This window comes from Homo sapiens, chromosome 2, assembly GCF_000001405.40.
Source record: "Homo sapiens chromosome 2, GRCh38.p14 Primary Assembly".
Classification (NCBI taxonomy): domain Eukaryota; kingdom Metazoa; phylum Chordata; class Mammalia; order Primates; family Hominidae; genus Homo; species Homo sapiens.
Window position 1 is genome coordinate 39396304 of NC_000002.12, and position 26268 is coordinate 39422571.

The 26268-nt window shown below is 38.3% G+C and overlaps 1 protein-coding gene across 5 annotated transcripts in view, besides 1 other annotated feature; it reads right to left on the minus strand.

Annotated features, from left to right (window-relative positions):
* The window catches only part of MAP4K3 (mitogen-activated protein kinase kinase kinase kinase 3), a 188020-nt gene that overhangs the window by 147038 nt on the left and 14714 nt on the right, over positions 1–26268 (minus strand). The gene's annotated exons all lie outside the window — the stretch shown is intronic.
* Positions 12563–12712: an enhancer, noted in NCBI's record as "active region_15616". NCBI's record gives its function as "activates an Ori minimal core promoter by ATAC-STARR-seq in GM12878 lymphoblastoid cells {active_cell/tissue: GM12878}" and the evidence as "EXISTENCE:reporter gene assay evidence [ECO:0000049][PMID:35858748]".

The window sequence follows — 26268 nt, forward strand, 5'->3', positions numbered from 1 at the left end:
GTGTTGGGATTATAGGTGAGCCACTGCACCCGGCCTACAAGTATTTGTATACCAATAGCTTAATATTCCATAGTCCACTTAGGTAAAATAAGATAAAAGACAATTCAGTTTACATTTCTGAACTTCTACCAATATCTTTTACTCAAGACAATGTGCTTTAACTTCAAGCCCCCAATTTTTTTTTTTTTTTTTTTTAAGCAGAGTCTCACTTTGTCGCCCAGGCTGGAGTGCAATGGCTTGGCTCATTGCAAGCTCCGCCTCCTGGGTTCACGCCATTCTCCTGCCTCAGCCTCCCAAGTAGCTGGGACTACAGGCGCCCGCCACTACGCCCGGCTAATTTTTCGTATTTTTAGTACAGACGGGGTTTCACCCTGTTAATCAGGATGGTCTCGATCTCCTGACCTTGTGATCCGCCCGCCTCGGCCTCCCAAAGTGCTGGGATTACAGACGTGAGCCACCGCGCCCAGCCCCAAATTTTTAACTTATGAAAGTTTTTCATAAAACCATTTTAGCAAAAATACTAGCCCAGAAACAGCATCTCTCTTCACCTCTTATAAGAGACCAAAGAGTCATTCTTACTATCTAAGGTAAATACATCTCAATTTAAGAGATCTATTACTTGATCTAAAAGACCATTTGCTTTTGAATCATTTAGTAGTATGTACTGACTATTACTGGACTTAGCTAAGTTGTAACACATACCAATAAGTGGCTGGATTTCACATCACCCCTGCCACAATAAATGACAACTTTTCATCAATTTAAAAACTTGAAATTTCAAGTCAAAATAAAGAAATGATTCTTTTTAAACTTGCTGAGGTTCATCATGCTACATATCTAAACCAGTAAAAATGGATAGTGTAATGTCTCTCAACCAAGACTTTGGTACTAAAAAAAAATCCTATATAGTACTCACCAACTCCATAAAATGTGCTTTAAAACAATATTAAGAATTAGTGACTACAAACATAAGAGAATTCAGTAAGATAGTAACCTATGAAAAGAATATACAAAGATCAATAATCTTCATATATACAACATATTATAATACAAACAACAGCAAAAATAAAGACTTCATTTCCAATAGCAACTAAATATTTGTATATTTTCACTTAATCACAAATGTGCAAACTTAAAGAAAACTTCAAAAACCTTTAAAGAAATGAAAGTAGAATTGAATGAAGAGAAAGTTATAATCATATTCTTAGAGAGGCTAAACATCATAAAGGTATCAACTCTTCTTAAGATATTAAAATTCATACAAACCCAATAAAAGTATCAATTTTTTTCCTCCAGGAACTAGAAAGGCTGATTCTAAAGATCTTATTGAAAAATAAACAAGCAGTAATTGCCAGGAAAACTCTGAAAATGAAGAGCAATGAGAAAACAGCTCTAACAATATAACTTTATATGGCCTCAAGAACTAAAAGTATACGAGTGGCAAATGAATAGACAGACCAGTGGGACAAAATACAAAGTCCGGAAATACACCCATATAAAGAATTCTTAGAAACAGAGGAGATAATCCAATGAAAAAATGGACAAGTATGTGAAAAAGAAAAGAAATACAAATGGCCCTTGAATATATGATAAGCTGAAAACAGAAATGCAAACAAAAAATATACAGTGAGATAGTGTTTCTTATCAGATTGGCAAAATCTGATTTAAGTCCAACCACTTGTCAAGCTGTAGGGAAAGGGGGGGCATTCCAAGGACCCTCATATATTGCTGCTGAAATGCAAAATGCAAGATATATATACAGGGAATCCAATAATATCAATCAAAATTACAGACGCATGTACCCTTTCACCTAGCAAACACCCTTCTAGGAAACGAAACCATCACGAAACCTACATACATAAGAAATACACATGTACAAGCTTAATCAGTATGAAATTGCCTGTTAATAGCAAAAGACTGAACAAATTCAAGTGCAAAAGGACTGGCTGAATTAACTACAGCATATACCAACAAACGAATACTATATAGTAAAAAAAGAAAAAAAAAGATAAGGAAGGTCTTTATATACTGACTGATATAACGAGAGAGCTCCATGGAATAAAAATAAAGAAACCAGGGTGCAAAGTATTAGTGTGAATTAGCCTTTTGCATAAAGTCTAAAGGAATAAACAGAAATTAACAAAAATTAATAAAAATACAGTTAGTAATACATAAAATGAACTAAGGAGAAGGGACAGATGGGGATGGGTGGGAAACAAGACTTCTCAGGGGATACTTTTTAAAATAGCACTTTGCATTTTGAAACGTAAATAAACGCATTCTTTATTAAAATTATAAATTAAATTTGAAATAAAAAGATAAGAAATTGGTGGCATGGTTAATATTTGGCCCCAAAAATTTACTAAGCCATGGTGTAAGCCTTTCCTTTGATGGTTTCAGGAATAATTAAAATAATAATAATAATAATAATAATAATAATAATGATGATGATAATAATTGGCCAGGCATTGGCTCATGCCTATAATCCCAGCACTTTGGGAGGCTGAGGTGGGTGGATCACTTGAGGTCAAGAGTTCAAGACCAGCCTGGCCAACATGGCGAAACCCTGTCACTACCAAAAAATATGAAAATTAGCCAGGTGTGGTGGTGCACACCTATAGCTCCAGCTACTCGGGAGGCTGAGGCAGGAGAATCGCTTGAACCCAGGAGGTGGAAGCTGCAGTGAGCTGAGATCATGCCATTGCACTCCAGCCTGAGACAAAGCAAGACTCTGTCTCGTTAAAAAAAAAAAAAAAAAAAAGAATTCTGTGAAACATAAACATCAGAAATGCAATCACACTTATCAACCTGCTCACACGAAATTCCCAATCTATCAATTAAAACTAAAGAACGTACTATGCTTTGAAAACGTATGTTGTACTATGTAACAAAAAGCCACATTGTTTACCTTGTTCAAGCTATAGTTGTAATTTATATGTCACTAAGAAGCCTGCAAGAAGAGTACCACTTGTGACAGGCAGTGAATACTTCAGATGACACAGACAAGGTTTTTAATAACAGCCAGTTCAGTGCAGGTCAGGCTAGGATTATGCTAAAACTGGTAGGCTTAAGGTAGTGCGCAGCAGCCTTCAATCCAGTCAAAGAATGAAAGCCTCAGAGGAAAGGCCATTTCCAATATACATCACATCTCTTTAACAAAATAAAAACACATGGGAACCATCTCATTTCCATCTTTGAGGTGACCTGGAGTTTTGTTCAAGCCAAGAGGAAGACAAAAGTCTACATGTAGCACCTCAGTCACATAAATGAGTACAGCTGATTTTCAAGTATTTTAGGAACTTAAGTAGTTAAATGCAAGGATTTGAGGCGATATTTTAGTGAAGACTGCCTAGCTACCTAGCAGCAGGGTCAGACAAGCCTGGCAATGACTTTTAGAGAATCAGAATCTAAGTCACAGCCATATCACTCAGAGAAATCTGAGTTCTTACACAGAAACTATGCCAAAAAGTTAAGGGCTCCTGTTACAAGCATACATTTTAGTGTTTATTACAAGAGACTGCTGTAAGTAGGATCTTTGTTCTCATATCTAACTAAGATCTAGCCAGGTACATAATATTTATATGGGGGAGGGTTTAATGTGGTTTAAAAAGAGGATATTTTATATTTCTGGAAACATTTAAAGGCATGCTCACAAAAAGAAAAACAAGTTGGTAAGTTTATAAGACAATTTCCCCAGACTTCAGTAAGCTCAAAGCTCAGACCCATATAACCAACTAGACAATGCTACCGACATCCATGTACCTCAAATTAATCCCCCCAAAAACCCTGCTATACTTTAGGTGTAGTGATACCACCCAACATCTCGCAACTGCCCAAGGGAGAACGCTATAACCCAACACCTTAACCCTCCCCATCCCTCCATTCACAGAATTATAAATGTCTGTTGTATGTTTTTAACTTCTCTGTTTCTATTACTAGTGCCCTAGAGTTCAGGCCACCATAATCTCTTCTCTGGAATACTACAGTCTCCAGTCTTGACTCTACCATCCTTGCATCGAAGCTTTCACATTTATTAGCATAAGTTGCTCATAATATTTTAAAGTACTGCTAAATTAGTAGGTATGCTCTTTATATTTGCAACAATAATTAACAAATAATATTTATGCCTTCTCTTTTATTTCTTGGGTGTTCTTACCAGGTTTTTCTTTTTTACATATCTTGTCAAATGTTGAGCTTAGGTTTTATTGTTCCCCCCTCTCTTTCTTCCCCTTCATTTAGTTCCTGTTCCTCCTTATTATTTACATTTCCAGTGCCTATGAGTTTACTCTGCTCTTTTTTTAATTCCTTGGTGTTCATATCTAATCATTTTATTTTTTATTTTTTAATAAGTGAATTTATTATTATAAATTATGACTGGAAGTCCTGCTTTATTTATATCTATAGCTTTAATTGTTTTTCATCAAAATAGATATTGTATAATTTTCACTGTAATTTCCTCTTTAACTAATGAGTAATACAGTAATTTTCAGCTTCCAAAAGAAAGGTATATGGCCAAAATACAGTAGCAGAAAGCAGCTATACCCTTTCACCTAAAAGAAAAGCTTTAAAAATGAACAAAACATATAACACTTAGTCTTTAGACATGAAATATCGGTTAGTTCTGAGACAGGAGTGTGACCCTGTCTCAGAAAAAACAAATAAATACAAGAATCACTGTAGTGTGCTACAGTGATTCCTTAAAAAAGAAAAATAAAATCCTACAGAGTTTTACAATTGTCCCGGCTTATATTCTAGAGACAGTTTCCAGGCCTCAGTGCAGGGCAAGGGAACCCAGATGGAGCCTGATGGTCACCCTAAGTTGAGATGATGAAGCTAAGAATACAGGAAAATGAAGAAAGCTAGAATTCGTAGGACAGAGTACCAAAACAGAGACAACTATACAGACAGGAAGGGGAGGGGGGTGTCCCATCTTCATCTCAAAATTTCAGCTCAATACCAATCCCCATATCCTTGTGAGGAAACACACAAGGCCTAGAGCAGAGTCACCAGAAAGGAAGAGAGAGAACAATTACCAAAGATTTCTAAGGGTTGGGAATAGTTCATGCTCTCATCGGCCAGACTGGAAAACTTCATAATTTAAGAGACACCAGGTAGAATACTCAGAAGAATACTGTCTTAGTATTGGGGAAAATTAGCTGTAGGCTACCAGCTGCTCTGTTCCCACCTAACTGAGCTTCGAAATAATACCTGCAAGGCCAGGCGCTGTGGTTCATGCCTGTAATCCTAGCACTTTGGGAGGCCCAGGCAAGTGGAGCGCTTGAGCTGAGGAGTTTGAGACCAGCCTGGGTGACACGGCGAAACCCATCTCTACAAGAAAATACAAAAAAAAAGCCAGGCATGGTGGCCCGTGCCTGTAGTCTCAGCTGCTTGGGGAGCTTAGGTGGGCATTTCGCTTGAGCAGGAGAGGTTGAGGCTACAGTGAGCCAAGATGGCAATACTGCACTCCGGCCTGGATGACAGGAGTGTGACCCTGTCTCAGAAAAAACAAATAAATACAAGAATCTGTTTCTGAAGTAATTTCACTGCACCACAGAAAAAAGCCCTAGAATACTAACAGGAATACAAAAATATCCAGGGCACAAAGTAGAATTCACAATGTCTGAAATACAATAGAAATTAATAATCATGTAAAAAAGTAAGAAAATACAACCTATAAGGTAAGAAGAAAAATCAATAAAACAGATTCAAAAACAGAATTAGTAGAAACATTAAACTAGCTATGATAACTACATTACATATGTGCAAGAAGTGAAGACTAAGCCAGTTAAATAGAAACACGGACTACGAAAAAAACCCAAATCATATTAATACATGAAAACTAAAATAACTGAGATTAAACTACAATGGATAGAATAAGAGCAGATCAGACACCAGAAAAGATTAGTGAACTTGAAGAAAACGGTAATAGAAACTACAGTCTTTTCTCTGTCTGGAAAAAATGAACAGAGAGCATCAGTTAGTTGTGGGATAACTTCAAGTAGACTAAGAAACAGGTAAAGAGCAAAATTTTTTTGATTAATTGCCAAATTTTTTCCAGTTTTGAAGAAAACCATAAACCTACACCTCCAAGAACCTTCATGAACTCCCAGCAAGAGAAATGAGCAGAAAGCTACATTAAGACATATCATAATCAAATTGCTTATAAAGAGAAATATATCAAAATTTGTGATACACAGCTAAAAGAAACACAGCAACAAATGCTCGTAAAAGGAAAAAAAGAAAGGAAACAGGAAATCAGTGACTTCAGCTTCCTCCTTAAGAAACTAAAGTAAAGCAAATGGCCAATGAACCTCAAGTAAGCAGAAGAAAGAAAATAAGATCAGAGTGTACCTCAATTAAATAGAAAATAAAAACAATACAGAAAAATCCATTAAACCAAAAATTGGGTCTTTGAGAAAAATCAATAAAATTAAGGCTCTGTTACCTCTAAGAAGATAAACTTCTAGCCAAACCAATCAGAAAAAAAGACAGGCCAAAAAGAAAAAAGAAAGAAAAAAAAAAGGGAGAAGACACAAATTTACCAATGTTGGGAAGTAGAGACATGACATCACTACAGATTGTACACATATTAAAAGGATAATGAGAAAATATTATAAATAATTTTATGCCATTAAATTTCAACTTGGATGAAATGAATACATTCTTTGAAAGACACAAACTACCAAATCTCATTAAAGAAATAAACTAAATAGCCCTATATTTCTAAAAGAAACTCAATCTATAGTTTAAAATGCCCAATAATAAAGCCTCCAAACCCAGATGGCTTTGCTGATAAATTCCACCAAACACAGAAGGAAGAAAATATTTTACAGAAACTCTTTCAGAAAAATGAAAAGAATACTTCTCAAGATAGGGGCAGAGCAAGAGGGCCGAACAGGACTCCACCCACTGACACCCAGCAGGAACACCAAATTTAGCAACTATCTACACACAAAAAAGCACCTTTATAAGAACCAAAACTCAGGTGTGCACTCAAAGTACCTGGTTTTAACTTCATATCACTGAAAGAGGCACTGAAGATGTCTGAAAGAGGCACTGAAGATATCACTGAAAGAGGCACTGAAGGAAAGGCAATCTTGAATTGCCAACGTCCCCCATCCACCCACAGTGGCAGTGTGGCGCAGAGAATGTGTGTGCTTGAGGGATGGAAAGCACAGTGATTGTGAGACTTTGCATTGAACTCAGCTGACACCCGACCATGGAGGGAGTATTTAGATCAGCCCTAGCCAGAAGGGAAGTGCCTGTCCCAACAGTCAGAACTTGAGTTCTGGCAAGCCTCCCCACCATGGGATGAAGTACTCTGCAGCCCTCAATAAACCTGAAAGGCAGTCTAGGCCACAAGGACTGCAACTCTTAGGCAAAGTCGTAGGGCTGAGTGGGGCTTGGAGCCAGTGGACTTGGGGGGCATGCAAGCTATTATGACACCAGCCAGGGCAGCTAAGGGAGTGCTTGTGCCACCCCTCCCCTAACCCCAGCTAGTGACTCTAAAAAAGATCCCTGTCTTCTGCTTGAGGAGAGAAGGAAGAGTGAAGAGGACTCTAACCTGCATCTTGGATACCAGCTCAGCCACACTAGGATATAAGACCAGTTAGGATCGTGAAGCACCCATTCCAGGCCCTAGCTCCCAGATAATATTCTAGACACACCCTGGGCCAGAAAGGAACCAGCTGCCTTGAAGGGAAGAACCCAGTTCAGGCAGGATCCAGTATCTGCTGACTAAAGAGCCCTTGGGCCCTGAATAACCAGCAGCAAAACCCAGGTAGTATGCTGTGAGTCCTGGGTGAAACTCTGACATGTGCTGGCTTCAAGTGAAAACCAGCGCATGCCCAGTTGTGGTAGCTACAGTGAAAGACTCCTGCTTGAGAAAAGCAGAGAGAAGAGTAAAGGGGACTTGGTCTTTCACCTTAGGTACCAGCTCAGCCACAGTGGGGTAGAGCACCAAGTGGACTCTTGGAGTCCCTGATTCTAGGCCTTGGCTCTTGGACAGCATTTCTGGACCTGCACTGGGGCAGAAAGGAGCCCACTGCCCTGAATGGTGAGTCCTAGGTCTGGCAGCACTCACCACAAGCTGACTGAAGAACCCTCAGGTCTTAAGTGAACATCAGCGGTAGCCTGACAGTACTCCCCATGGGCCTGTAGTGGTGGTGGCCAATGCGTGAGGCTCCTCTGCCTGTGGAAAGGGGAGGAAGGACTGGGAAAGACCACGCTTCATGGTTTGAGTACCAGCTCAGCCACAGTAAAATAAAACACCAGGAAGATTTCTGAGGTTTCTTTTTTTTTTCTTCTTTCTTTCTTTTTTTTTTTTTTTTTTTTTGAGGTGGAGTTTTGCTCTTATTGCCCAGGCTGGAGTGCAACGGCACGATCTCGGCTGACCACAACCTCTGCCTTCTGGGTTCAAGCGATTCTCCTGCCTCAGCTTCCTGAGTAGCTGGGATTATAGGCTTGCACGACCACACCTGGCTAATTTTATACTTTTAGCAGAGACGGGGTTTCTCCATGTTGGTCAGGCTGGTCTCGAACTCCCAACCTCAGGGGATCCGCCCGCCTTGGCCTCCCAAAGTGCTGGGATTACAGGCTTGAGCCACCACACCCAGCCGATTTCTGAGGTTTCTAACTCCAGTCCCTGGCTCCCAGATGGCATCTCTGGACCCACCTGGGGTCTAGAGGAACTCCTCAACCTGAAGGGAAGGACACAAGCCTGGTTGGCTTCACCATCTGCTGATTACAGATACCTAGGGTCTTGAGCAAACATAGGCAGTAACCAGGTAGGGGTCACAGCGGGCCTTGGGCAAGACCCAGTGCTGTGCTGGCTTCTGGTCTGACCCAGCACAGTCCTGGTACGGGTGGCAACAGAGGACCTTGTGTCACCCCTCCCCCAGCTCCAGGCAGCTCAGAACAGAGAGAGAAATGATGTTTCTTTAGGAAAAAGTAAAGGAAGAGAATAAGAGACTGCCTATGATACAGGGAATTCTTTTGGATCTTATTGAAGACCACCAAGGACGTACCTCTACAAGTCTACTAGAACTACAGTGTTACTGGGATTGGGTTGTCCTTTACTGCAGGTATGGCTTAGATTACAAAATCCAAGTCCTTTTGAATATCTGCAAGGCCTTCCCAAGAAAGACAAATACAAACAAGCCCAGACTAGAAAGACTACAAGAAATACCTAACTCTTCAATGCCCAGACATGAACAAACATCCATAAGCATCAAGACCATCCAAGGAAACATGACCTCATCAAACAAACTAAATAAGACACCAAGGCTGGGCACGATGCTCACACCAGTAATCCCAACACTTTGAGAGGCTGAGACAGGAAGACTACTTGAGCCCAGGAATTCAAGACCAGCTTGGGCAACGTGTTGAAATGCCGTGTCTACAAAAAATACAAACATTAGCCAGCTGCAGTGGTGTGCACCTGTGGTCCCATCTACGTGGGAGGCTGAGGTGGGAGGATCACCTACCTAAGCCTAGGAGGTAGAGGTTACAGTGAGCCGAGATCATGCCACTGCACTCCAGCCTGGGTGACAGAGTGAGACCCTATCTCAAAAAATAAAACAAAATAAAAAAGACACCAGGGGCCAATCCTGGAGAAACCAAGATATGTGATCTTTTAGAAAGAGAATTCAAAATAGCTGTGTTGAGGAAACTAAAAAAAATTCAAGATAACTCAGAGAAGGAATTCAGAATCCTATCAGATAAATTTAACAAAGACACTGAAATAATTAAATAGAATCAAGCAGAAATTCTGCAGTTGAAAAATGCAACAGACATACTGAAGAGCACATTGGAGTCTCTTAATAGCAAAACTGATCAAGCAGAAGAAAGAATGAGTTAGCTTGAAGACACGCTATTTGAAAACAGAGGAGACAAAAAAAGAATTAAAAAAACAAGCACATCTGCAAGATCTAGAAAAAAGCCTCCAAAGGACAAATCCAAGACTTATTGGCCTTAAAAAGGAGGTAGAGAAAGAGACAGGGGTAGAAAGTGTATTCAAAGGGATAAGCAGAGAACTTCCTAAACCTAGAGAAAGATATTAATATCCAAGTACAAGAAGGTTATAAAACACCAGCAGATTTAACCCAAAGAAGACTACCTCAAGACATTGAATACTCCAAACTCCCAAAGGTCAAGGATAAAGAAAAGACTCTTTAAGCAGCAAGAGAAAGGAAAATATACACTGGAGATCTAATACATCTGACAGCAGACTTTTCAGTGGGAGCCTTACAGGCCAGGATAGAGGGGAAAGGCATAAAGTGAGGAAGGAAAAAGAACTTTTGCCCTAGAATAGTATATTCAGCAAAAATATCCCTCAGACATGAAGTAGAAATCAAGACTTTCCCAGACAAACAAAAACTGACAGATTTCATTAACACCAGACCTGTCCTACAAGAAATGCTAAAGGGAGTACTTCAATCAGAAAAAAAAAGGATGCTAATCAGCAACAAGAAATCATCTGAAGGTATAAAACTCACTGGTAACAGTACACAGAAAAACAGAATATTACAACACTGTAATTGCGGTATGTAAACTACTCTTAAGTAGAAAAACTAAAAGAAAAGAATACTTCTCAATTGAGGCTAGCATTATTCTGATAACAAGACACAGATGTTACAAGAAAACTACAGACAAATATACCTCATGAACATAAAAAATTCTTAAAATTTTAGCAAATCAAATACAATGTTAGAAGGGATAATACATCATGATCAAGTGGTATTTATCCTAAGAATACAAGGTTTAGTATTAGAAAAATCAATCAGTATAATTCACTGTATTAACAGACCAAAAATGAACAAAAATTGGTCATCTCCACAGAATAAAAAAGTAAATAAAATCTAAAATCTGTTCCTGATACAAACTCAGCAAACAGGAAATAAAGAGAACTGTGCCAATATAGCAAATAGCATATGAAAAAGACCTAAAGCTAACATCAAAGGAAATGGTGAAAGCCTAAATAGTATCTTCCTAAGAGCAGGAACAAGGGAAGAATGTCTGCTCTCACCACTTCTATTAACAACTTAAAGGAAAAAAAAAAAAAAGGATTTAAAGTTGAAGAATGCCAGTTGGAGAATGGTTTGATAATCTGAAGAAGTGGTTTGGCTTAAAAACGTCAAGAAAACAGAAGAAACAGCTACTGCCAACCAAGAGGCAGCAGAGGAGCTCCCAGACACCATTAAGAAAATCATTCAGGAGAAAGGTTATCTGCCTAAACAGGTTTGTTTGTTTGTTTTTGTTATTTTTGTTTTGTTTTTTATAGAGCGAGAGACAGGATCTCACTCTATTGCCCAGGCTGAAGTGCTGTGGCATGACCTTGGATCACTGCAGCCTCAACCTCCTGGGCTAAAGTGATCCTCTCATCTCAGCCTCCTGAGATGGAAACTGAGACCACAGGTGCATGCCACCACATACAGCTAATGCTCTTATTTTTTATAGACATGGGGTCTCACTATGTTGCCCAGGCTGGTCTCAAATTCCTGGGCTCACGTGACCCTCCCATCTCGGCCTCCCAAAGTGCTGGGAGTGCAGGTGTAGGCCACTGTGTCTAGCACTGAACAGGTTTTTTAATGCAGATGAAAGTGCCCTATTTTGGGAAAAAAATGCCACAAGATATTAGTAAAGAAGAGAAGCAAGCACAGGATTTATGGCAGGAAAGGATAGGCTAACTCCATCCACTGTTTTGTGCAGATGCAGTCAAGTTTATGATCAGGACTGCTCTTATCTACAAAGCTTTTAACCCTTGAGCCTTAAAGGGAAAAAATAAACACCAGCTGCCAGTCTTTTGGTTGTACAAAACAAAAACAAAAAGCAAAAAATAAAAAAAACCATCTAGATAACAAAACCCTTTTTCTGGATTGGTTCCTTCCATGCTTTGTCTGTAAAGTCAGGAAGTACCTTCTCAGTAAGGAACTGCCTTTTAAAGTTCCTTTGATATTAGACAATGCCCCTGGCCACCCAGATCCCAGGAGTTCAACACTGAAGATGTCAAAATAGTCTACTTGACCCAAGCACAATATCTCTAATTCAGCATCTAGATCAGGGGGTCATAAGGACCTTTAAGGGTCATTAGACACGATACTCTAGGGAAGGGACTGTCAATTCAATGGAAGAGAACACCAACAGAGAGAATGTCATGAATGTCTGGAAGAATTTCATCATTGAAGATATATTGCTGTTACAGAAAAAACCTTTAAAGCCATCAAGCCTGAAACAAAAAATTCCTGCTGGAGAAAACTATGCCCAGATGTTGCACATGACTTCACAGGATTTATGAGAGTCAGTCAAGGAAATCATGAAAGAGATTGCAGATATGGCAAAAAAAAAAAAAAGGTGGTGGGGGGTTGGGTGGGTGAAGGGTTTCGAGATATGGATCTTAGAGAAATTTAAGAGCTAACAGATACCAAACCAGAGGAATTAACAGAAGCAACTTGATGGAGATGAGTGCTTCTAAAGCAGTGCCAGACGATGAGGAAGAAGACAAAGAAGAAGCAGTGCCAGAAAGCAAAGTAACATCAGGCAATCTGGCAAATGGGTTTGATTCTCCAAGACTGCTTTGACTTCTTTTATGACAGGGATCCTCCCATGATACAGGCACTGAAACTAACAGTGGGAGGATTGGTACCATATAGAAACATTTTTAGAGAAATGAAAAAGCAAAAAAGCCAGACAGAAATTACAATGTATTTCTGTAAAGTTATACTGTGCCTGCCTCTTCTGTCTTTCCTTTCACTTCTGCCACCCTGACAGCAAAACCAACCCTTCCTCTTCCTCCTCAGCCTACTCAACATGAAGACAAGGATAGACACTTATGATGATCTACTTCCACTTAAGGAATAGTAAATATATTTTCTCTTCCTTATGATTTCTTCGCCTTTCCTTTTCTGTAGCTTACTATATTGTAAGAATATAATACACAATACATATAAGAAATACACGTTAATTAACTATTTATATTATCAGTAAGACCTCTGGTCAACAGTAGACTATTAGTGGTTAAGCTTTGGGGAAGTCAAAAAGTTATACATGGATTTTCCACTACATGGGGGGCTGGCTCCCCTAACCTCTCTGTTGTTCAAGGATCCACTCTAATATTGCTGAACTTCAATAAATGATCCACTTGGAAGCTGGCTGCAGTGGCACCAGCTTATAGTCCCAGCTACTCTAGAGGCTGAGGCAGGAGAATCATTTGAACCCAGAAGTTTGAGTCCAGCCTGGGCAACATTTAAAAACAAAACGACAACAACAAATCACTTAAAGCTAAACTAGATGTTTCAGCCAGTTTGTAAATTTCTCCAGAAAATATTGAGTATGCAGAGAACAGAAATCGGAAGAGAAAAATAAAGCATAGTAGATATTGAGATATACTCAGAGTTGAAAATAAACAAAAACAAGGTTAATTTAACAGTGTGAACAGAAATAGACTAAAAATAATTATCCATATTCTACATGGAATCTCTGTTTATGTTACAGTTGGTATAAATGCCTATTTACCTAGTACTATAATAAATGTAAAGACAGATCTCTAATTCACAGGCACTGAGATAAAGGACAATGTGGTTAAGCAATAACTGAAGACTCAATAGCACTTAAAGGGATAGTTTCTAAGTGCTAATTCCAATGATGGAATGAAAATAGCAGAAAGGTATTTCCATTGTTAAGGTACTTTGAAAAACTTCTTACCACAAACTGAAACATAAAATGCTACATATGATTATGCCCAACATTTGCTTTTTCAATATCCTTTACGTTTTTCTGACTACAGCGAAGAAGTAACTTTGGTTAATCTCTTTTTAGTTTCTACTTACACCTAGGTCTGGGTATGGTAGTTTGGGATTGTGGAGGAGGGAGCTGCTAATCTGTCATTTAAAGCAACAGCTGATTTCTAGTTCAGCAACAGGCCACTGCATCATCTACACATAAGAGGCAGCTGAACCCTTTATAGATTGGCAGGACATACCACAAATAGCCACAATCAAGAATTTGGAGTTCCCTGTATTCACGCAACATCCTGTACCCATGTCAATAATTAGACATAATTTTACAATCCTAGAAAATTAGAGCAATAAAATCATAACAAAGCAACTGGTAATATTATGAAGATCTTAGCATTTCTTGTAAAGCTTTCTATCTTTATAAATGTTGGTTCTTTGCTAATACATTATAATAACAAACTCTACTGAAAACCATTACAGTCACATGTCACTCTAACAGCCAAAAATCTTATTACATGATTTTGGAACACATACACAAGTGTGTGCAGAAAGCAGTATTTCTCTTCCACAGACAAATGGTAAATTATTTATCATGAAAATAATATTTAAAAGATCATTTTTAAAAAGGTCTTTGCATGGTGGAAGACTAAAACTAGTACTTTTCATAATATGAAGGATAACAACATTTCCAAGTTTTGAAAAGCTTTTCTAGCTCTTCAAAAATGTAATTTTCACTATAGCAATTAAACCAAAATGCACAGAATAGCCATTTTAGCTATACAAAAGGATATACGGTACAATGACATCAAAGGCACATATGTCATAGTTTTTGCTACTGATATCCTAGAATTGTTTTTGTATGTCATCTTTTCAAAGAAACATATCTTCACCATATAATCTACATTAGCATTAAATACACCTTTGAGAAACTGTTTAAAAGAACAAAATATTTTGATATCATTATGCCATTTTTTTTACTTAAGCTGGAGATAAATGAACAGAATCTATGTCTTTTTAAATACAGGACAGTAATTCAACAGTAATTTTTAAAAACAAAGTATACTCCATATAATTGTATGCCTTAAGTTTAAGTGAATTTCCTGTGAGGACTGGGAAATGGATATTTACATCAGAGAAATGTTTTCTTCTTGGCGTCTATTTTTAGTTAAAACCGTTATTTAAAATCCAATTTTAAAGCAGAGTACAGACAGAAAGCCAGTAAGTTTGACTCCCTCACTTCTGACACGAAGGCAGATGTTTTCCCTACATTTTTCCTACTTAAATCATACTAGAAAGTTGTGGTACATATTCCAGATTGAGTGTACCAATTTACATTCCCTCTCTAAACAGTGACTCCATTTCATGATGTGAGCATGAGGAAAGAATGGTGTATGGTTTCAGTGTCTTGTTTAGTTATTAAATACTTACTGAGAGCTAATCACATGCCAGGTATGGTGCCGGGTACAGGGACACAAAGATATGGTTTATGCTTATGCTTAATGTCTTTGCTAGACGATTAAACTACAATGTTACAATTCTGGAAATCCATTTCTCTGATGACCACTGGTGAGAAAGTGGATGGAACCAGTAAGCTTTTATCTGGCAAAGGCTTCGTCATCCATTCAGTTCTAAGTGCATCAAGTATCTGTCAAGTACTTTCATGAGCACAGAAGTTTGTCAGAATTGAACAAAATAACTCTAAGGAACTGTGACTGTTAGCAATGAAAAAAATGTGACGATCTGCAGAGAGGGAAAGTGACTAAACGTAATGGCTTGAGGTTCGAAGGGTAATGGCTACATATCTACATGGTGACTAAATCTACATGGTGACTAATAAAAGGAAGCTTAAACACTTGACAACACGCTTCATGGCACTCTAGAGAGTTTACAAAGTATGTCACATATATTATTTCATTTTAACTTTCCTGACCATATCATTTTACAAGGCAAGAAATGAGTGAGGGTAAACCAGGCTTTCAGTAGTACACTAACTCTGCATTTCCCAAAGTGTGTTCTGTGGAATTGGAATATTACAGTCATTAGGAAGATCACTTTAAAGATCAAATGTTCCAGAAAACACACTTTGGTAAACTGCAATGATTTGCCAAATAAGACCAAAATAATTAAGTCAGAGAACATACTTTCAGGGGCAAAATCAGTAACAGCTAGCGCGGGTCAGGGCCCTGGAAAAAGACCACCAAATTGGATCTACAGGAGATCGCGCCACACCTAGCTGCAGTCACCACCATCTCCTTTCAGCTATACGCTGAACAGCTCACTGTAGCAATTAATGTCGTCCCCCAAAATATTTACTGACCTTCTATTGTAGTCCATCTATTACACTAGAAGCTGGAGATATAACAAGGAATAAGACAAAGAAGGCCCCTGATCCCACGAAGCTTACATTCCAGTTAAGGGAAATAAAAACAAAAAAAATTAGATTGATTAGTCCTAGGCAGGAGGAAAAGCAAAAATACCTAGATGATATGATAGAATATGACTTGAGATAAGCTATTAAAATAAAAACAAACAAACAAAAAATAAAACCCTAGAAACACTCAGAAGGGCTTTCCTAAACGGCGATCATGAAAATAGCCCTAAATTTACATGACAATGAAGAACAGGAACAAATACTACTGCAATAGTAGTTAACGTTTATGAAGTACTTACTATGTACAGGTTATGTACTAAGATTTAAATGCTTTGTTATTTAAACTTCACAATTTAAATATCATTAACTATTCTCGTCTTACAAATGAATAAATTGAGGCATAAAGAAATTAAATTACATGTCCAAGATTAAAAAAAAAACCTTAAAAACTAGTACAGCTAAAATTCAAATCTGGCAATCAAGAGGCTAAGTTCCTAACTACTTGGTCATCTGACCAAATAGTATCTATCTGGTAGATAGTAACCTGCCATTTCAATATTTTTAAAGATTTCTTGTATTTTCTAATTGTCTATTACATGCAACTAACTTGTCTACCTCACTGAAGTGACTAACGAGGAGAAACCCAACAAAGGATTATAAAATGTCAAGCTTTTTGTCTTAGAAATGAGCAGAAAGTACATCTCGATGTTCCATTTTACCTAGAGTATAAAGAAATTCATCAAAGCTTTCATGCAGTAAAAGTTAGAGAGTCAGGCTAAATTCCTTGTATCAGAAAGAGAAAAATACATGAGTAACCAAGTTCTATTAATAATACAGAAACTGAAGAGGATTTAAGCAAGAGATGAGAAAACTATAGTCCTAAGTGGTTAAGGAACTGAATCACACACATTTACCTAATTAACGAGGGAGCTAGGAACAGAACCACCATTCCCCTTAATGTCTCTCCACCATTATGAGGAAAGGGGGCAATTAAGGCAGAAGTCTGGAAATGCCAGTGCAGCCCAGGGGACAGACTGGGTACAGTCAGTGGTCAGATACTGGTATTGCTGAGAAAAACAAGCACAATCACAAGATATATGAAACCAAAGACAGCCAAAAATGGGTCACATCCAGTCACTACAATGACTGCAATTAACTGTGAGAATCCATTGACTGTACATGCAAAGTAAAAAGGTAGAGGTGCAGAGTCCAGGAATACGGACTAAATAGAAAGTGAACACAATCAGAAAAAGTTGTAAGAGAAGCAAGACCAGGGTAGAGGTGGGCCCCCTGTATCACCAGACAGGGGAGTCCGTTAACAACTGTCTTCTCAGAACTACCTGTAGAGTTCTTGGCATACAAGATGCCCAGGCTCCACCTTGTAGGTGCTAAGAACCTCTTAAGTGAAGCTCTGCTTTGGATCATTTTGTCACTCAAGAGGGGCTTTTAATTTCTTGCTTCTTAACAGAAAATATACGATTCAGATATATTCCGAAAGTACATTATTCCTTTCCTCCTCATATCAATATCTACATCTTTAAGTAAGAGCATACACACTTACTCGCTAATTCCTATTACAATCTTTCAAGGTGACTGCAAGGGAAGAGTAGTTCAAGGAATATCTGCTAGAGAACATGATTCTCATGGTCAGCTTTAAAGCACTCTCATAGTTAAACTTGATTTTGTTCCTCTCTGTCTTGATACTTTACAATAAGCAACATGTTCCTAATCTCTATAGAAATAGCCAAATCTAGAAAACAGAAACACTCACCAACCTCTCCATCAAAAGCCAAAATGAGAAGCAAAGAGAGGCACCAATCTTCTCTGAAGATCACTGCACCCCAGATGCAGGAACAAAAATCCTGCTCTTAACCTTAAAATTGTATCTTACTACTAAATCCTAGTTAGTAGGTGGAATTTTGGAGTTTACATTAAAATCTTCTATTAAATAGTTTTCACAAACTATTGCGGGGGAATTAAGAGGCTAGTAGCAATTCCAAAACAGCTCACAAAATAATGTTAGGCAAATTTTTTAGAAGAATACATTTTCTTCAGAAAACATTTCAGTAATGTTTTTGAGAAATGGCCCCCACATTCCACCCCCACTACCACCTGCTTGCAGATCTCTTTCTTCTACTCTGTCTGCCTACTATGCCTCAATTCTCTTAAGAGTATGTACCAACCTAGGCCGGGTGCGGTGGCTCACGCCTGTAATCACAGCACTTTGGGAGGCCCAGGTGGGCGGATCACGACATCAGGAGATCGAGACCATCCTGGCTAACACGGTGAAACCCCGTCTCTAGTAAAAATACAAAAAATTAGCTGGGCGTGGTGGCACATGCATGTAGTCCCAGCTACTCGGGGGGTGCTGGGGCAGGAGAATCACTTGAACCTGGGAGTCAGAGGTTGCAGTGAGCTGAGATGACGCCACTGCACTCCAGCCTGGGCAACACAGTGAGACTCCAACTCAAAAAAAAAAAAGAGTATGTACCAATCTAATACTTTGAACCTTGTATGAAAGCCAAGTATTATGTAAAAAATGGGAATTCATTTATCCAAAATTAAACCACCAACTTCATAGAGAATCTTAAATATTATCACCAACAATTTTTTAGAGAACTGAAAAGTTCAAGAGGTTATAAGCAATTCCATGAGCCAAATCCCTAAGTTGGGTTTGGTTCACAACCAGATTTTCTTTTCTGCAAAATGACAGCCTACACTTGTAAAAGTCCAAACTTCTCCTAGATGTTATTTAAATGTTATAGCTCTCAAAAACAGTTCCAAATGAATGGGCTTCATTTTAAAAGTATGTACTACAACTGAACAAGCATCAGAAGTATTAAAATTTCCTTCAGATGTTTTATGCTTACTGATATGACTTTGTTTAAGCAACAAAGGAAAATTTGACAAGTTCTGCACTAAAATAATGGGAATTCTCAGTGCAAAATCCTTTTGCACTTATTGGTGCACAAGTAAGTAAGTACAATCTAGTTTCAATTTAATTATTACTTAGAAACAGACTTACGGAATTAAATGCCCTTAAATTTGAGTGGGAAAAAGGAGACAGTCAATTAAAAGAAAGGAAAGTGAAATTATGGTGAAAAGATAACCGTACGTATTACTTCAATGAGGATCAATCACACTGTGCCACTTTATCAAGTTCCTGTGGTATTTATGTCTCTCCAATCCTTATAAATTAATGTCAGGCATTAATAGTCACTTTTGGTGTTCATTAATGGTACTTAATATAAAAATAATTATAGGCCAGGCACGGTGGCTCACGCCTATAATCACAGCACTTTGGAAGGCCGAGGTGGGTGGATCACCTGAGGTCAGGAGTTCGAGACCAGCCTGGCCAACGTGGTGAAACCCCATCTCTACCAAAAATACAAAATATTAGCCAGGCATGGTGGTGGGAGCCTGTAATCCCAGCTACTTGGGAGGCTGAGGAAGGAGAATTGTTTGAACCTAGGAGGTGGAGGTTGCAGTGAGTCGAGATCGCACCATTGCACTCCAGTCTGGGCGAGAGAGCAAGGCTCTGTCTCAAAAAAAAAAAAAAAAAAAAAAAAAAAAATATATATATATATATATATATATAAAAATAACATTTGGAAGAATAAATTCCCTCTATCACTATCTTGTTTCTGATTTTAGGACTCAAATTTAAGTCATACTAACTGGGTAACTCATTCAATTATATGGTAAATTGTATGGTATATGAATTATATCTCAATTAAACTGTCAAAAATTTTCAGTCAGATGCTGGGAGGGTGGAGTTGGGAGGGCTGTCCTGTTTGAAAACAAAACTTCAGAATAACTAAGCCTTCTACATGAGCTTACCAATGAAACCAAATGCTAAACAGGCTCTGGTAAAACCAAATAGATAAGATGTTTCTGGCATGTTAATAAAGAAATTCCTTCAACTAATTTGGTTCTTGACTTGATCGGCAGCCAATAAAACGCCTTTGCTAACTGCAATTCTGACCCACTCCTTTCCCCTCTGTGCAAGAGACATATGTGAAGAGGGTGAGAACCACATGCTTCTACCAGAAGGAAAAAATAATCTGGCAATCATCATGGATTGGTTTAAGGAGGGCAGAAAAAAAAGCTGGCCATGTTTTATTCCAGAAGATTTTTAAAAGCATGAACTATTTTCCTCACAGACACAATCTCTTCAACCAGAAGAAAGCAAGCATTATTTTCCTTTAGTGAGTATACAGTTCCATTTCTGCAAGTTTGACTATTTAAAGAAATTTACTCTTTTCTAACCACTGTCCCCTCTCATATCCAGAAGGGTACTTTGGGGATTTTTCTGAGATCACTGAACCCTCTTCTTCCTTAGCATAAAAAAGAATATTTTTAAAAATGATAATCAACACTACAATGTTTTCACACATCTATTTTTGGCAGTATAGCCGAATGTATGGAGTCTGGAGGCAAACTGGGTTCAACTGCTGGCTCTGCCATTTACTAGCTGTGGAGCCTTGGGAAAAAAACTACAAAAGCTCTCTGGGCCCCTCTATTTTCATTTGTAAAATAGAGATAATTAAAGTTCCTACAACATAGCATGGATTAAGACTAAAATCGGTTCTTACATGTAAAAGTTCACAGAATAATGCTTAGCACATAGTAAGTGGTGTATAATTATTATTATTTCAAAGAGTAAATGAGTAACTTAAAAATACGAGAACTGTTTGGCTTGTCAACTTGTAACAGAGTTGTGAAAATTTCTAAAAAGCTATACAGATATACTGAGATTGAGCAAATTCATAAATGGATACCAGGCAGTGAAAGCCAGGTTTCTTTTCTTTTTTTTTTTTTTTTGTGTGTGAGACAGAGTCTTGCCCTGTCGCCCAGGCTGGAGGGCAGTGGCACAATCTCGGCTCACTGCAAGCTCCTCCTCCCGGATTCACGCCATTCTCCGGCCTCAGCCTCCTGAATAGCTGGGACTACAGGCGCCTGTCACCACGCCCGGCTAATTTTTTGTATTTTTAGTAGAGACGTGGTTTCACCGTGTTAGCCAGGATGGTCTTGATCTCCTGACCTTGTGATCCACCCCCTCCGTCTCCCAAAGTGCTGGGATTACAGGCGTGAGCCACCGCACCCGCCCGAAAGCCAGGTTTCTTACTACTGGATTAGGAAACTACAGATAAACAATGGGGGAAGGCCAGAACAAACCATGTGATGCTAGATTAGATCAAGAGATATCAGTTTAGCTTAAAACAGATACAGACAGAGAGATACTAAAATAATTATAGATATGTATGTATACGTGGTTTAGCAATATATACACGTATTTCCTAGCTTCATCTACTAAGAGAAATCCTAGAATCAATGACACGCCAACAGCAAACATACTCAGAGCCCAGATCTTGGTATCTAACACCATTCTCTAACAGAAGGAACCAGGGCTCCTTGGAAAAATGTCTGCTTATCAGGCTAGGGCAGAGAAATACAAGATGAGCCTAAAGCATCTTGCAGTGCCAGAAAGTAAGCATTAAAAACAAAATGATGGCTGGGTGCAGTGGCTCACACCTGTAATCTGAGCACTTTGGGAGGCCGAGGTGGGCAGATTATGAGGTCAAGAGACAAAGACCATCCTGGCCAACATGGTGAAACCCTATCTCCACTAAAAAAATAGAAAAATTAGCTGGATGTGGTGGCGCGTGCCTGTAGTCCCACGTACTCAGGAGGCTGAGGCAGGAGAATTGCTTGAACCCAGGAGGCAGAAGGTTGCAGTGAGCAGAGACTGCACCACTGCACTCCAGCCTGGTAACAGAACAAGACTCCGTCTCAAAAAAAAAAAAAAAACAAATGATGGGGACCTATGAATGGGACACAGGAAAGAGCCTGAAAGAGCTCCCAATGGCTAAGTTGGAGCAATCTGGGCAACAAAATAAATCATGTAGTACTGGATCATAACCCAAAGTATAAAATAAATATCCATACATCCATACTAATATAAAATAACTGAATAAATACATAAATGAGGACAAAGACATAAATCCCTACAGAAGAATTTCAAGTAATTTACGAAGCTACTCCCTTCCTCAAAGAGGTGAAGTTTAACTTCTTACCTCTTGAGTGTGGCGCTGTGTTTAGTGACTTGCTTCCAAACAGAACAAAATGGAAAAGTGGGGAAAAGTAGTTTTACAGTGCAGAAACCTGGTTAACTAAAAAGCCAGGTGATCAAAGTTAACATTGCCGGTGATCAAAGTTAACACTGCCGGTGATCAAAGTTAATATTGCCAGTGATAAATTATGTCAACAGCATACATACTTCATTCTCCCTAGAATCTATAACCGCAATCTAACCATGAGAAAAAAAAAAACAAAAAACCTTAAATTTAGAAACACTCTACAAAACATTGACCAGCACTCCTTAAAACTATCAAAGTTATCAAAACGTCTGTGAAGCTGTCACACACCAGAAAATTCTGCTTAAGGGGACATAGTAACTAGAATATGGTATCCTGGATGGAATCCTGAGACAGAAAGAGGCATTAGAGAAAAACTAGTGAAATCCAAATAGACGGTGGAGCTTAGTTAACAGTCATGTTCTGATACTGGTCCTCAGTTGTGCCAAATGTACCATGGTAACATGTTAACAAAAAACGAAACTGGGTTAGGAGTCTTTGTGACTTTTTGTAAATCCAAAAATATTCTAAAATAAAGTTTATTTTTTAAAAATCTTATATAGTAAGTGAAATATTTTAAATAATGTTTTAAATAGTATGAACTTAAAAAGATAAGTTTAACAAAAAGGTATTTCTCATCCAAAACAACTAATTTTATCATGTATTAATAAGTGAATACTTTCTGCAAACAATAGTGTTAAAAAAAAACTAGATCCCTTTACTGCCAGACAAAATAAGTTTAGTTTACAGATTTTTCTTCTAAAGCCCACCAAAATAAGTTAAATTATATTTTAAAAATACATTGTCTAAAATCTTATAAAGCAGTTTATTTAAATTTCACCTTTTTATATTATTTTCTATAAAAGCAGTATTACCTTATAGAAATATTCTCTACATTTTAATTCAAATATTGCATCATAGCGCGATAGAAACAGCTAAAGAAACTCAACACAAACAATACAGACCTACTATAAAAATAGCAGCTCCGCCCAGTAATTAACAGAAACCTCCAATTTTGGTTTTTGAAAGAAAAAAAGTTTGTCAAACCTCATGTGAACACAGTTTACTGGAGGAAATAAAATCTCAACATTCCAAATAAAAACATCTTCTATGATTAGCAGATCCTAGTAGTATTGGTGAATTAACATCACAGCACTAACCAGAAATAAGAGACCCCAGAAGAAAAATATCAACACAATGATTATGAAATAAAAATGACTAACTTCTTCAAGCTGAATGGCATTCAAAAACTAAACATAACTGTGTGTGGACTGTTTCTGCAAAAGGCTTTATATTCTCTGCTCAATGCTTTTTGAAGATTTGGAGTTTGTGGTTTTACTGACGGGATAGAAGATGGTGGAGCACAGGATGGGGACAGGCAAAAGCAAGGTATGGAAACGGAAAGATGAAAAAGGTTTAGTAATGACATATCCCATCTGACTTTCCTATCACTCAGCACTTTCAATGGTCTCTTCTTTCCACTGTGTCACCTCCTGAGAATGAAATGGAGGAAGAGGAGTATGAACCCCCTGGCCTAGGGTCAGAGAGAGATTCTAAGTCACCTATTCCTCTGAGGCACTGAAAGGAATACAAGAATCCAAAAAGGGCTTTTAAGGACACACAGGTGTTGAAAGCAAACGCTAAACAATCATGGGTAATCAATCTTTCACTACTCTTATTTACTCCATTATTCTTAACTTATTTCAACTGGGAAATATTTAGTAACTTATAATACTTAAAACTAAAGACCATAACTTCCATATACACGTGCACTTACAGAATAGGTGTTTTATATTTTATTTCATTTATTTGCTCAAATGTCACTATTCAAAGGTAAAACTGAAGTCATGAATCATGAATTCCATATTTTTTTTAATTTTGTTTTTTGTTTAGAGACAGTCTCACTGTGTTGCCTAGGCTGGAGTGCAGTACTGCAATCATAGCTTACAGCAGCCTTGAACTCCTGGGCTCAAGTGATGTTCCTGCTTCAGCCTCCCAAGTAGCTAGGACTACAGGCATGTGCCACCATGCCTGGCTTTTTTTTTTTTTTAAGAGATGAGGTCTAGCTATGTTGTCCAGGCTGGTCTCGAACTCCTGGCCTCAAGCAATCCTCCCACCTCAGCATCCTGAAGTGTTGGAATTACAAGCATGAGACATCATGCCCGGCCGCCATGAATTTCTCAAATATTAAAAGTGAGGAAGAAGTTAAGAGCTATTATTCCTTTGAAAACTCAAGCAAAAGATGTCTCTTTCCTTGACACTCCCATCATTGAAGAATTCTTATTCTCAGGTGTCCACTATCCCTCTTGACGATATTTCCCTACGGGTTCCTTCAAATCTGCTAGTCTATAGACATTACACCTCAATCAATCTGTCCAAAATCTAACTCCACATCTTGCTTCACTCAACTTTCCCATCTCTCCAGGTCATCTATGCCCCCAGTTTCCCCTGTCATTAATCTAATTCATATCATTTCCATTCACTCCTAACTGGTACACCATCTTCCACATAATCTGAAATATCAGACTGAGGATTAACTGTCCACTCTCCACCACATCCATCTCTCACAGGACTAAGAAGTGGTCCCTGCCATCAAGTAGCTCACTATCTACTCTTCGGTTCATCAAACACCTCAAATTGCTTCCCTTATTTCTATCACATTTAATTTATAACCTGGAGACAGTTTCTCAAGACATATTCTGGTCTCACCTACCTCTCTACAGAACAACACAGTGACTACAAGGCATGGGTTCTGGAAGTAAGACTGCCTGAATTCAATCCTGGTTTCACCACTTACTACTTACTAGATTTATTGACTTGGGCATTTTTTTTTTTTTTTTTTTTTTTGTAGAGACAGGGTTTTGCCATGTTGCCCACCCTGGTCTTGAATTCCTGGTTTCAAGCGATCCACCCACATGGGCCTCCCAAAGTGCTGGTATTCCAGAGGTGAGCCACTGCACCTGACCTGGGCCTATTCTTGACCTTTCTTTTTGTGTCTCAGTTTCTGTATCTGTAAAATGGAAATAACAATACCTACCTCGTAAGGTTGTGAAGAGAATTAAAATGAGAATACCTATAAAGCACTTAAATAAAATAAGGCCTAGTACATAGTATATACTCTATAAATGGCATCTGCTATGATTATAACTATTGTTATTAATATCTAATGTTCTCTATTATTCTCCAATACAAATCATTTGATGTAGTTTGGCCCGTTTCCTGCATGATCTCTTCTTGCTTATTCCTCCCCCTACCAGGACTTCATTCTTCGATTTTCACCTCAACTACAGTGCCCTTCCACTTTATCCATTTAAATCTAAACAACACATTAAAGCCAAACTTTCATTCTATCTCTTCTAAAAAGCCTTTATTTGGCCATGGGCTGCAATTTTTCTGATCTTCTGAACTTTTATTGGGAATTACATAATACTTAATCACAAAATACCCCATATTACTTAACGCTATAATTACTCCATACTATTCCCGTATCTAGTCTGCCACCAACTTGAGAAGAGGGATTACATTCTGTTCATCCTCTGTCAGCCATGGTACACAGCTCAGCATGGGTGCTCAATAAATACTCCTGAGAAAAACACTAAGATAGAAATGCTATGGTACTAGAAGAAAGCAGCATGATCAAACTCCTTGAAAAGAGACCACAGACAATGTCACCATTTCCTCCTGCCTTCTCAATCATTTCTAATTAGGATGCTTTACCAACTACTCTTTCTGAACAGCAATTATACCCTCCTAACTAGACTCAATAGTCTTCTCCCAGTCCTTATCTCCCCTAGTTCTCTGCTATATATCTGACTCCAAATTACAATCCCAAACTCCTCATGTTTGGAAACAGAGGAAAGACCATGTATAGACACCAGGAGAAAACAGCCAACTATAAGCCAAAGAGTGAGGCCTCAGAAGAACCAAATCTATTGAGACCTTGATCTCAGACTTCTAGCCTCCAGAACTGAGAAAATAAATTTCCACTGTATAAGCCACCTAGTCTGTGGTACTTTCTAATAGAAGC